At 35.7% G+C, this 14286-nt stretch overlaps 1 protein-coding gene and 1 pseudogene across 5 annotated transcripts in view; one reads left to right on the forward strand and one right to left on the reverse strand.

Moving 5' to 3' along the window:
- Positions 1-14286, reverse strand: part of FAF1 (Fas associated factor 1) — a 523240-nt gene that overhangs the window by 135248 nt on the left and 373706 nt on the right. For all 5 annotated transcript variants that reach the window (NM_007051.3, XM_047442745.1, XM_047442743.1 and 2 more), the window contains 3 exons: positions 12410-12536; positions 11377-11440; positions 10343-10424 (listed from right to left, as the gene is read on the reverse strand). In NM_007051.3, the coding sequence (NP_008982.1) occupies positions 10343-10424; positions 11377-11440; positions 12410-12536 (273 nt within the window). The remainder of the gene's footprint in view (positions 1-10342; positions 10425-11376; positions 11441-12409; positions 12537-14286) is intronic.
- Positions 10129-10236, forward strand: RNU6-1026P (RNA, U6 small nuclear 1026, pseudogene; annotated as a pseudogene).

Below are 14286 nucleotides of genomic sequence, written 5' to 3' on the forward strand. Positions count from 1 at the left end.
TGTTTGCAGACACTATGACACTTCTACCCTAAAGAAATGTCTTGAGAATAATACATTCCCTTACATAATCATCATATTTATATCACACCTAAGACATTTAATATTGTTACAATATCATCTAATAAACAGTCCATATTCAAATTTCCCCCAAGTACTCCCACATGTCCTTTGTAGCTGTTTTATTTATTGTTTTAAATCCAGCATCTAATTTGGATCATTCCAGTACTTGCCAACTTCTACAATGCTATTCTTGTATATGGATGTTCATAGGTACCACATAGCATACAATCATGACTCAAGATAAGTGCAATGTGAGAACACAAGCAGGAGAGTAGGAAGCCACACTATCTGGATTCAAATTCCTGCTTTGCCATTGCCCTGCTATGTGACCTTGGGAAAGTCACTACACTTTTGTGCTTGGGTGGCATACAGTTCTGAAGGTCAGAAGTCTGTTAAAACTCTTTTCTAGATGGGAGTAGTGAGGAAGTAAGGCTGGCAAATCAGTAGTAATGAGTAGTAATAGAGGAAGTCCTGGGTTCTAGGCATGAACATCAGATTGGCTGCTTCTTTATGAAGATGATACTTTAAAAAAAAATTGTTTTTAATAGAGATGGGGTCTCACTATGTTGCCCAAGCTGGTCTTGAACTCCTGGGCTCAAGTGATCCTCCTGACCTGGCCTCCCAAAATGCTGGGATTACACACCTGGCCTGCGAAGGTGATACTTGAGCTGAATTTTAAAAGTAGGACATCAATGCTATAAGTAGAAACAAACAAACCACAGTAAAAGCAGGAGAGAGTGACTTCTCTGTGACTGAAGCTGAATTTTTCTTTTCTTTTTTTTTTTTTTGAGACAGAGTGTTGCTCTGTTGCCCAGGCTGATGGCACCATCTCAGCTCACTGCAAACTCCGCCTCCTGGGTTCAAGTGATTCTCCTGCCTCAGCCTCCTGAGTAGCTGAGATTGCAGGCAGCTGCCACCATGCCCGGCTAATTTTTGTGTTTTTAGTAGAGATGGGGTTTCACCATGTTGGCCAGGCTGGTCTTGAACTCCTGACCTCAGGTGATCTGCCTGCTTTGGCCTCCCAAAGTGCTGAGATTACAGGCGTAAGCCACTGTGCCTGGCCTGAAGCGGAATTTTAAATATACGTGAGAGTGAGAAAAAGAAGAGTAAAAAAGATAAAAAACAAAGGAAAAGTTTGGGAAAGGCCCAGCAATGTCAATGGCCCCATATGTTCAAAGAACTCCAAGCTAGTTATCTTTAAAGAGTAAAACACCAGAGTGCAGGTTGTATTGTGAAAAGAATCACAAAACTTAGCCCTGTTTAGCTCCTGAATGTGATTTCAGAGACCAACAAGCATCAACCAAATTGGAGAGGTTCCAAAAAGAAAAAGTCAGCTACTGAAGATGAGGAGATGCCAGGATGGTGTCTTTTTCCCCTCACTTTCTGAGCAGATGTTGGGATAGCATTCTGAAATCTTGAGGACACAGATATCTGAATCTTGCATAGGGAGCACTGTCATATGGAAGTCAGAGGGTTAAAAACAAAAAAAAAAAAAACAAAACAAAGCCTTCCCTAGGTGCAGTGGTTCACGCCTGTAATTTCACCACTTTGGGAGGCCGAGGCAGTTGGATCACCTGAGGTCAGGAGTTCAAGACCAGCCTGGCCAACAGGGCGAAACCCCATCTCTACTAAAAATACAAAAAATTGGCTGGGTGTGGTGGGGTGCGCCTGTAATCCCAGCTACTTGGGAGGCTGAGGTAGAATTGCTTGAAACTGGGAGGCAGAGGTTGTAGTGAGCTGAAATTGTGCCACTACACTCCATCCTGGGCAACGGGGCGAGACTCTGTCTAAAAAAAGAAAAGCCTAAAGTAAAATCAAACTCTCAAAATAAGCTGACAGATGTTCATTGGGTATAGATCTTTATCAGTTTTCATTGCTTAGACTGTAATACTCAGGTAATACAATATATTTGAGGAAGGCCACCATGTGGCAAAAGTTTTTATGAATAAGGACATGAGAAGCTGAAACGATTGGCTCTTACAGCAAGTTACAGAGAAGCAGGCATGCTCTTTGGGGAGGCTGGAAGAGGGACTGGGTAGGCAAGGAAGTAGGCAGTGTCAGGCCAACTCTCATTGGTTTTCCAGGTAAACATTTAGACACAGTACTAAGGACTTTGGTACAGTAGTCTCTTAAAAGTGCAGGAAGGATTTTTCTAACCCTTTACTATTCTCTATGGGGAGGGATAACACTACTCCTAGTCAGCAATAGGCCTGTTAAACAAGCATGACAAAAGGAGTGCGAATGTCAAGTGTACTCCTCGCCCCCACTTTTAGGACACTGAGGAAGAGAACAAGAACCCATAGCCTACTTATATCTACTTCCACATTCCAAAAGGTGACAGAGTATAGCAGTAAAGACTTGAAGATAAATTAATAATTTTTCATTAAAAATATATTAATAATGCATTCTTACTGAAAATCATAAGAATTACAATGATTTATGGGTATACATGTTCAGTAGCTTTTTAATACCATCAAATATTGTCTGACAAACAGGTTTCTAAGTAGAATATTATATATCATAAAAACAAGCTGTGTTTAAGCATATAGAGTTGTATTAACTCTTTTTTTTTTTTTTTTTTTTTTTTTTTTGAGACAGGGTCTCGCTCTGTCACCCAGGCTGGAGTGCAGTGGCATGATCTCGGCTCACTGCAAGCTCCGCCTCCTGGGTTCACGCCATTCTCCTGCCTCAGCCTCCCAAGTAGCTGGGACTACAGGCACCCGCCACCACGCCCGGCTAATTTTTTGTATTTTTAATAGAGACGGGGTTTCACCGTGTTAGCCAGGATGATCTTGATCTCTTGACCTCGTGATCCACCCGCCTCGGCCTCCCAAAGTGCTGGGATTACAGGCGTGAGCCACTGCGCCCAGCCAAATGGCAGTGTATGTCTAAACTAGTAAGTTTTGAACTAATTTAAGAAATAATTTTAATATGGGCACTAAAGATTTTTGCAATTTTAATTAGGCAGATCTGATAATTGGAGAATTAAAGGCAAATTCTAAGTGGTACTAACAAATATACTATTTAGTAGAAATATCTAATTACAGAACAGCAGGTTTGGTATGGTTGTATTTATATAAACTATATCAGCTTTTTGACTGATATACATGTTTATAGATTTTTTTAAAAATCACATTTAGAAAGTAAAAGCATTTAATAAATAGTGGTTATTTTCAGGTTTGGAATTATGTGGTGTCATTTTCTACTTAAAATGCATCTGTATTTTCATTCTCTTACAGCAAATACATTATTTGTATAATTCAAATATATTTTTCTAAAAAAAAAATTAGCATTCTAAGTCTTATTTCACACATGTGCAGGATGCTGTCCCAGCTGTCATACAAAATTACTATAAAAGACATTGTCCTGACTTTAAGGAATTTAAATGGAAAAAATAACACAGACAAGATAAGCAGACTGGGCATATTTTCCAAAGCACAAAGAAGTTTGTTTGCCTGGTTTTCTGGATATTGTGTGGTGAGCTAGAAACTTACCAACTACAGCTGTGGCCTCAAATTTGTATAGAACTTATTTTTCTTAAAAGACAATGAGCAATGATGGCATTTAGATTTCTTTCAACACGAAGCAGTAGAAATAGCATGACTTTAAAATGGGCTGATTTAAAAAATAAATATAATAAAATTTGATAACTAAGAGCACTGTTAAACGTGAACTACTAATTTTTGTGGTAGAAATGTTCATGGGGTTCTCAAAATTCCTTTCTGAAACTGTTCCTAGAACTAGTTCATAATTGAATGAGAAAATCAGTTTTGTTATTTTACAAACATTTCTCAAATTTGTCCAAAACTGCTTAATGGCACCATCTGTCTTATCCACAGTGCTGGGTGCATTTATGGGTAGCATCCCACTTAAGTCTCAAAACAACCTCTATAAAGTAAATACTATCATCATCATGTTTTTTCCATATTAGACATAGGCTCATTACTTGTTTAGGGCCACAGAGCTACTAAGTGGGAAATCAGCAATTGAGTACTGAGTCCCTTAATTTATGTATAATATTTGGAAAAAGCACTGGTGTGAAGTCAGATCTTTGGAGCTGTAATGAAATTACTAATATCAAAGCTCAGACTCCCAAAGGGATGCTTGGGAAAGGAACAATCCTTCACATGGGAGATAAGCCCTGCCATTGAGATTTTTATTCCTGTTGATTTTTAGTTACTATAAATGTCTAATGATTCTCCAGGGTACTTTTGGTGGTGTAGAAGAAGAGAATTCAGGGACAGTAGGCATGAGAGGTGGGGAGGCCCCAAGGAAAAAAAAGACTCATCTCCGCACCGCCCCCCCCCCGCCACCACCCCTGCACCAAGATATGATCTTGTTCTCTTGCCCAGGCTGGAGTGCAGTGGCACAAACATGGCTCACTGCAGGCTAGACCTTCTGGGCTCAAGTGATGCTCCTGATTCAGCCTCTTGAGTAACTGGGACCATAAGCACATGCCACCGCACCTGACTAACTGTTTTTGTTTGTTCGTTTTTCTTTTTTTTTTTTTTGTAGAGATGGTGATCTCACCATGTTGCCCAGTCTGGTCTAGAACTCTTGGGATCAAACGATCCTCCCACCTTGGCCCCTCGAAGTGTTGGGATTACAGGTGTAAGTCACCATGCCCAGCCTAAAAACAGATTTTAAATGTCAGCTAATGCCAGGGCATCACAGGCCCCTTCATGCCTTGGCCCCCACTGATTTTATCAGCATCATGCCTAGCAATGCAACTCCGTCCTGCATTTTTTTGCTCCAGTAATACCAAACTGGTTGTCGTTTCCTCACTTTAATCTTCCATTGCCTTTACTTTTGTTCTTCCTTCTGTTTAGAATTCTGTTATTTGCCTAAGTTTTTCTCATCATTTAAGATTCAGGTCAGAGGTACGTCCTCTAGAAATCTTCCCCCTAGGCTGGGCGCGGTAGCTCATGCCTGTAATCCCAGCACTCTGGGAGGCTGAGGCGGGTGGATCACCTGAGGTCAGGAGTTCAAGACCAGTCTGGCCAACATGGTGAAACCCCGTCTGTACTAAAAACACAAAAATTAGCAGGGCGTGGTGGCACGCACCTGTAGTCCCAGCTACTCAGGAGGCTGAGGCAGGAGAATCGCTTGAACTCAGGAGGCGGAGTTTGCAGTGAGCCGAGATGGCGCCACTGCACTCCAAACTGGGTGACAGAGTGAGACTCCATCTGGAAAAGAAAAGAAAAGAGAAGAGAAGAGAAAAGAAATCTTTCCCCTGAACTTCTAAGGTAGTTGAAGGTACCTCTTCTCTTTGCTTCTATGGTATATTATACTATATGGATTGTTTATATTGTTTTATTTACCTCATTAGACTGAGCAAAAGCAGGAAACCTCTATTTCCCAGATCCTTAGAGAGCATGTGATAAACATTTATAGCCCTCAACTGGATGAGTGTCCTTCATAGTTAAGGGCAAGGAAGGAAGTCATAAAACTGATCAGTACATTATCAGAAGTCAATACTTTGTCACGATATACTTAAAAGAAACATGAAAACTTAGAATAACTACTTTACCAAAGTTGGAAGCTCTGCTTCGTACAGTACTGTAAATTCCTCAAGAAAAAAGGCAAAAAGAACGATGAGTACTCTCACCACCAAGTGCTCTCAAATGAAATCAGTTTGAAGCAGTTTTCATTAAGATGGATTGAATGTGGCATCGTGAGAAACACTTTATCAAATGTAGTGTTTTACTTAGTGATTAACTATATACCAGTTGATGAAGCTCCCCAAATCCTTTGTAATCCCACCACTCCAATAAACATTTAATGAGTATATAAGTTCAAAAAGCCTAGCAGAGGATTTAAACCTTCAATCTTGTTTTTATTTACTCTTGGAACTCAATTTCTCACTTCAAGTGAAGAATGCTGGTGTTTGAGGCTCATCTGTTGCCCTGGTAAAATTAATGTACCTCCCCTCCCACAGTTTAAATTAAACATGTGATATTTAAGATGAAGAAAATTTAGTAAGAGTGCCACAGTATCCGTCATATTTGCCTTAAAATGTTTGAACATGAGCAAACTGTTTTCTGAAAAACGATTCATTCAAAAATTTTAAAAAATAATCTTGAGCAAAATCTGTTTTAACTCTCAAGTGTGAAATATGAAAAGGAGAGATGAAGTTTGATTATTAAATCCTGAAGTACAGCAGTTAGCAATGAAAACTCAAGTGTGGTGGGATAGTGTAAACCATATTTACCTGTCATGGAACATGTGAGCTCTTATTTGGTCCCTACTACTTACTATCAGTGTGTTGTAGGCAAGTCATGTAGCTTTTCTGGACTTTCTCATCTCTAAAATGGGAATATGAGGATTATATATCCCTATTTCACTGTTTGGTTGTGGAGTTCAAATGAGATATGTATAGGAACATGTTTTATAAACCACAGAGCATCACAGAATTCTGAGGTAACATTACAATTACTATACGTACACAGTTAAAAGAAGATGTATACAATCTGCTTGATGACTTCAATAAATGAACCTGTTTAGATTTAATTTTGAATAATTTATCTCTCATGGAGTTAAACTTTAGTTTATAGAAATGTAATAAACTGTACATAAACTGTTGATCTGTAACTTGGAAAAGAGAAATGAGGAAAGAAGAAAGCCCTGGACAAAGAAATAAAGACATTTTTATCAGTCCAGAGAGGTCAGTGGATTTTGGTTACAAATCTAATAGGAAGCAAAATATTTAATTACATGAACCAATAATTTTTCATCTGCTAAAACACCTAGACACTAAGAAAAGCAAACAATCAATTGTTTCATTAGAAATATCCAGGAGTTAATAAACAAGAGCTTATATTCCTCAGGGGATTATCAGTCTGAATAAATCCAAATGCCAATTTACTGTACAAGACACTTAGTAAAAGTTCTTTTGTCTACGATATACTGTATTTTTAAGTGTAAGTTATCTGCATTTAAAGCTAAAATGTGTGAGGTATACATAGTATATCTTACAGAAGCTTTGGAAATGGGCTTTTAAAAATATCTATACCTATTTTGGGAGCTACAGTTTAAGTTACAAAAGGCTGTGACATTTTCTGGTTACTTCAACTACTGGTAAGCAGAGAAATGCACTATTATCAAAGAATAAGTTGAAAAATACATTATTTTGAAACTATAATTAGATATTCTTTCAAACATATTTATGTCTAATAAGTGATTGTTTAAATATAACAACATGGCCATACAATGAGACTCCATAACCATTAAAAATCCTGTTAAAATAAAATATTCAGCATTATTTTACAAAGCATGTCACCTAAATCTAACAAAGCTTTTAGACCTAATATCCATTTTTCAGGAAATCAGAAAAATAATATCACAAGGAAACAATCACACAAATCCAGAATTTGGAACCATCTACAAGTCATCCGGTCTGATTTCTTCACAAAGCAAACGCCAGGAGGAAAAAATGGGGAGAGATGGTGCTTGCTTAAAAGGTATTTAAGATATCTAATACTCAAATATAACTTGTGATCCTTGAGTGGATTGTGGTTCCAAAAAAAACAGCTAAAAAGAAATTCTGGGGATGACTGGTGAAGTTTGTATATGCACTGGATAGTAGATAATATTAGAGAATTATCGTTAATTTTGTTATATGTGAAAATGGTATTGTGATTATGTAGGAGAATATCATTATTTTTGGAAAATGCATGCTGAAGTTTTTAGGGGTAAAGTATGACATCTATAATTTATTTTGAAATGGCTTAGCAAAAAATAATAAATATACAGTATACCCTAAATGTTTCTGTGCAGTTTAAGTTTCAATAACTTCAAAAGCTTAACTGCTAAAAACTATTAAAATTTATTTGAAGTTTTAATTATTTATATTTATTTTATACTTGTTTGTTTTTGTGAATTTTGAATAAATTTTTAATTTATTTTCTGTTCCAGTCAACATTTGTCATTTTTAATCAGAGGAACTGAAACAAAAATTTATAAAAATTTATTCATCAAAATCACAAATCCAAATAAGTATAAAAATATAAATAAATTTCAAATGCTGCTCTTTTGTCAATCTGTAGCAGTTAATCCTTTTAAGTCATTAAGCCTTAAAACTCCATTAAGACTTTGAGATGCCTATATATGGAAGATAAAAATATGGCAAAATTTTCCTAATTATTAAAGGTAGGTATAGGGGATTTGGCTATTTATTGTACTATAGTACTTTTTCTGTATTAAAATTTAAATAATTTTTTATAATAAAAAGTTAAAATACTATAAAAGAAGTTATAATTAAGAAAGTGATCATATAATATTAAAAGGTAAAAAAAGCTGTTATTACAGGATTATAACATGACTAAATTTTATACTAAAAATCCATATATATGGTCAACTAAACATACAATAATATGCAAAGAGCATAACAAAGTTAACAGTTAATCTGTGTTAGAATACTTTCTCTTTGCTTTTCGGTATTTTCTTTTTTCCTTCCAAGAAAGAATATCACCTATTATCCAGGCTGGAGTGCAGTGGCATGATCTTGGCTCACTGCAACCTCCACCTCCTGGGCTCAAGCAATCCTCCTGCCTCAGCCCCCCAAGTAGCTGGGACTAGAGGCATGCATCACCAGGCCTGGCTAATTTTTGTATGATTTTTTGTAAAGATGGGGTTTCACCAGGTTGCTCAGGCTGATCTTGAACTCCTGAGCTCAAGTGATCCACTCGCCGTGGCTTCCCAAAGTGCTGGATTACAGGCATGAGCCATCACATCCAGCCCAGTATTTTCCATAAACCTATATTTATGAACACCATAAACATATATTGCCATAAACATGCAATTCTTTAAAAACAGCCATTTTTATATAGATTGAACAGTTGAAACATAATTGCTTAAAACAGCTTTTAAAAGGGCTATTCTGCTATTCTTAGGGTAAAGAAGTTTCTTACTCTAAATTCATTAGACTGTCAATTATAGCTCTAATTTGATTAATCATCTTGGAATTTGATTTTTAAAATTTATTTTTAAATGAATTTTTCTTTGTATCAGAATTTAACATACTCTAGAAAATAGAAATCTCAGAGGCATCCTTGCACTCTGTTCTCAAACTCCTTGCCCTCTTTAATTCCAACAGCTTTCCCCTCTACTCCATGTACACACTATTCCTTCCTTCTTCCCTTTCTTTATTCCTTGATTTATTAAACATTTACTGAATTTTTACTAAGTACAGGGACATAAAGGATAGTCCCTGCCAAAAGAAAATCAAAACTCCTGGGAAGACATATGTAGAATGGATAATTATAAACACTGTGTTAAGTGTAACAATAAGAGATAAGCAGAGGGTTTTTCACTGGGAAGTGCTAAAGGGGTAGGTGCTGCCAATGTGAGAGAAGGGGAGGAGGTGGAAAAGGTAAGTTTCAGAGGAGGAGGAGGAGTCATCCAGGTAAAGAGCAGAATGAAAGGCATTTCTAGCAGTGGGGAAGCATGAAGAAAGAGTAAGATTATGGGGCAATACAAATGGTACACTATTGCCAGATTTATTTATTAAGTGTGAGGCAGGGAATGGGAAGAGCTGAAGCTACATAGATAGGCAGGAGCCAGATTGCTGATGTCTTGACTGCTGTGACAACATACAAATAGTGATTAGAATCTTCTTGCTCAAAACTTATCTTCTAAATTCTTGTTATGGGCTTCTTCTTATAGACTTCAAGATCACAAAGTCCATTTCTATGTTTAAAACCTTTTTTTGGGGGGGTGGGCAGGGGCCCAAAGTGACTTTTGGGGAAAAATATTGCAGTTGTTAGATATATATCACTACACAGAATAATCATTTTGGGAAAAGACTAAAGAACAAATCTATCAAGAACTAGTCATTTGCGTAACTGAAAAGAATACAAATATGTAGCTTGGTCCCTTCTAAGCACATCCACCTTTTTTCCCATTTAAAAAAAAACCCTATTTCAGTGCTTCACAAGGCCTTCTGCAAGAGCCAGCAGTACCCCTATCACATTAATGTCCCTTGTGAAATGGGTATCTTGGTGAAGACTAGGTTAGCAGATGAACCAGAAACAAATAAAGTCTCCAATCTCAAAATGAAAACAGAAAACGGTGCTTGCTTCAGCAGCACATAATACTAAAATTGGACTTATACAGAGATGATTAGCATGGCCCATGCACAATGATGACATACAAATTCGTGAAGAGTTCCATGTTTTTGGAAAAAAACAAAAACAAAAACAGAAAACATTTAAGCATTGCCTCAGCCCTAGTGGTAAACCTGTGGGATGCACTTTTTAATCAGAAAAGGTCAAACTGTACTTACATCTCGGGCTTTCACATAGAAGGCCTCTTGAAAAGCAGCTTCTAATGAGCCAATAAAAAATACAGGATGGCAATCACCATATCTATAGGAAAAAGTGAGTCTATTAATTAAAATACTTTTCAAATTCACTTCAGATTTCACAAGTCTAATCAATGACTTTTAAGTAAATGTTGGGGCTAATGTCTAGTGCATACTAAACATAAAAACATTTCTTTAAAAGCTTGGAAATGAGCTTTATTGGTTTTTAGAATTCTTCTTGGCCTATACTGATATACTAAAATACTGGAATTTTAAGTACACTTAGCAAATGAATTTAATAAGTGCTATAAAACCATGCCATTTATAAGAAGAAACTCTTGGTTACTCACTTTCATATGATTTTACTAGTTACATTAGCCTTATTTTCCCACTTCAGTTCATTTATTCCAGAATTCCAATAGAAGGAAAAAACTGTTTCTTTTAAAAGTCTCCATATTATATTTCAACAGAAAATATCACTAAAACAATATCATTTACACCAAATTGAGGATTAAACATTAATTCTCTTTATATTTGAATACCTCAGCAGACTCTCAAATGCATATAAAATATTTTATATTTGACACTTAAGGAAGAAATGTAAAGCAATTCCAAAAGAAAAAAATAAAGGAAAAAATTCACTTGGATTTAAAATGTTTAAAGTATTTTTAAATTTAATATTATTTTAAAGGATTTTCCATTTGACTGTCCTAAGATATACTAAAAATTACTATCCTATATCCTAGTCCTTTGGGAATATAATAAAAATATTAAATTAGGATCCATTTATTGAACGTCCATAAACATACAGAAATAAGTTGAATCTATCTCTAAAGTGGCATAAATGGTTTACTGGTTATTTATGTGTTTCACTATTAGGACTATATAAATTAACAAGTATATCCTTTGAATACTTTAAGGAGAAACTTTAAACAATCTATAATTAAAATTGCCCAAGAAAAATCACAGTAGCATAAAACAGCATCAAATTTATATAGTTAATGTCCTAACCCTACCTTGAAGAAAACTCTGCTGTAAATTGTAATAAGGCATCTCCTTCATTTTCTGCGTTTTCTGGCACTAAAAAACAAACAAAAGAAAAAACAAAAACAAAAAAACAAAACAAATAGACACAAAAACAAACCACATAACATCTAATCCCACATATAAGAAATATATTCAATCAATAAAGAGGAAATAAAATTAAATTTTAGCTTCTGTGATATATCTGAGGGGATAGTTTAACTCAACATATATTAGATCTCATCAAACCAGAATCAAAAAGAACCTTAAAATATTCCAAGCTCATAAATTTTGAAAAACCAATGGACACAATCCTGCTAAGCATTTAAAATATGTGCCCAGTTGTCATTTAGGATTTCAATGTTTTCTTGAAATAGACATCTTGTGACTAAATTATATTAAATGGGTCTGATATTATTTTAAAGACTTCATTAATTGGGAAAATAACCAATTTTATGTAAACATCACATCTATTTCTGCCCACAGGAGTTCTCTAATTTCACAAAGTAAATAGGCCATTATTATTTTAGTGGTCATTTTGCACGTAGCATGTCTTGTTATTCTATAGTACACATCTTGTAAGTGGAAGTGAAAGAGATGGTACATTTAGTTTACTTTTTTCCTTCCAAAGATGGGTACCGTTGAATAGAAAAGTAACATTATTACTCTTAAAACTGATATCTCTAATAAGATGTGGGGAAACAAGTATCGGTCACAGAAAGTACACCTGTTTGTTAATCAGCCTCTAGGTTTAAAGAGAGACAGTCATAATTCATTATACATGTAAAACAAAAGTTACACTACCTTGCATTTTTAATGAATTTTCCTAATGCACTGAGAATTTTTGAGTTTAATAAAATCTAAATTCAAAAGGCTCTGGTTCTAATGAAGAATGCCTACTCTCTATTATCTTATCTCCTCAAACCTGGAGGTCAGTAAGAGATGTTTAAGTTTAATGTTCTTCATAAGTTTGTGTACTAGAAGAAAGAATTCTATTGCTGGACCCAAAGAGCTATTAATACTCACTCATTGGAGATTTTCTCAAGGCAGATGACGCCATGCCAAATACTTCTCCATCATCCACCCCAAATTCTGTAGCATCTTCAAAGTCATCTCCATCGCTATCACTAACCATATGAACATCGGTGATTTGCTATTTAAGGAAAGTCCTGATTAGTTTCATATTGATTTTGGCCTATCAAATTCTAAGAATAAGTTATAATAATAACAACAGGACATAAGCGTTATAAAATTTTTATCAAATAAACTCATTTGCTAGAGTAAAGCTTACTATTTTTTCCTTTTAAGGCTTACATACTTCCTAAACTTTCTGTGATACCTGTAGACCGAAGGTCTCCAACCTTCGGGAAATGAAGAATGCTTACAAACTAAATAAAGACAGGGATTTTTGTCTTTTTCCCCAGCATATAGTATACAAGTAAGTGCAAAACAAATGAGAAAATGGGTACAACTGGAGAAGTCAGAGACAAAGTAAGTTATGCGTCTCTCAAAAAGCTCACATTAATTTATATTTGGCAGGTGGAGGCAATGGTAGCATTTCTAAACTTTCCACTTCCTTACTGCAGTGGTTCTCAGGTTTCTCTTTGTGAAATATGGTACACTATCCTCACATTGTTATGGATAACATGAAATACACTACATATGAAAGCTCTTTGTAAACTGAAGATGAGATGTAATAATAATGTTTTACATATGAGTTGTAATAATAATGTTTTAATTCAGTAAAAATTACTGAGAATTTACTACCTGCTGAGCACTGATGAATATGCTCTGTTTATTTTGTTTTCAGCAACATCAATTGAAAAGGTATTAAAAACATCTGCTTCAAAGAACTAGGCTGTTATTCTCTAGGTTAGAATGTGATTCTGAAATACTGAGATATAAAACTTTTGGACTGGGCTGTAAATACTGCTGAATATTCATGCCTTAGGTAAGAAGACGGTCCAAGCAAGATATCTGGCTACATGCTTGTCTGTCCTATGTTCAATAAATAAAGTCTATAAATATTACTTAGTAAATAAAATTTCTATCTTTTAAAATGTGGCACTATGTACTTAAGTTATAAAATGGGGAAACTGATCCTTCAGTCTATGTAGAATAACCTAATATAACATAAATATTTTGCCAGAAAAGCATTAATAGAAACAAAATATAAGACTCATAATTAGCCTGGGCATCATGGCCAGATCTCATCTCTACATAAAAAAAAAAAAAAAAAAAAAGAAAAAAGTCTGGCATGATGGTGTGCCGCTGGTCTTAGTTACTTGGGAGGCTGAGGCAGGAGGATCACTTGAGCCCACGAGGTCAAGGTTGCAGTGAGCCTTGTTTGCACCACTGCACTCTAGCCTGAGTGACAGAGTGAGACCCTGGCTCAAAAATAAAAGACTCATAAAAATTTAGCTAGAGGGAATGTCAGAGGTTAGACAGTTGTTGAATCATAGATTTTAAAGCTGGAAGGATCTTAAAAATCTGTCATCGGCGGTTTTCTAACTTATTTTCATAGGGTTTCCTCCCTCCCCTAGGCCCAAACAAAATATTACAATACATAAAAGTAGGACTACTCTGGTTGATACAGGGAGAGGTCAATGGGGAGCTTAATGCTCTTGGAGTTGGCCTTTTCTTCCTTGTATCTGTTGACACCTGGGGTATAGCCAGAGGATCTCAGGACCCCATGAAACACTTTTTAAAACTGCTCATCTAGTGATTCTAAGAGTTCCAAATGAGAAAGTCAAGATGTTTCTCATTTGACTTAGTGTCAAATGTCAGCATTTCCTCCTTGGGCATACCCAAGCATTAATGCAGAGAATCATAATCATATTTTCCCTCTCAACTTTAAGACAATCTTTCTAATGCTTTGAATAGACAAGATAATGAAGATACAT

The sequence above is a fragment of the Homo sapiens genome, chromosome 1 (genome assembly GCF_000001405.40).
Source record: "Homo sapiens chromosome 1, GRCh38.p14 Primary Assembly".
Classification (NCBI taxonomy): Eukaryota; Metazoa; Chordata; class Mammalia; order Primates; family Hominidae; genus Homo; species Homo sapiens.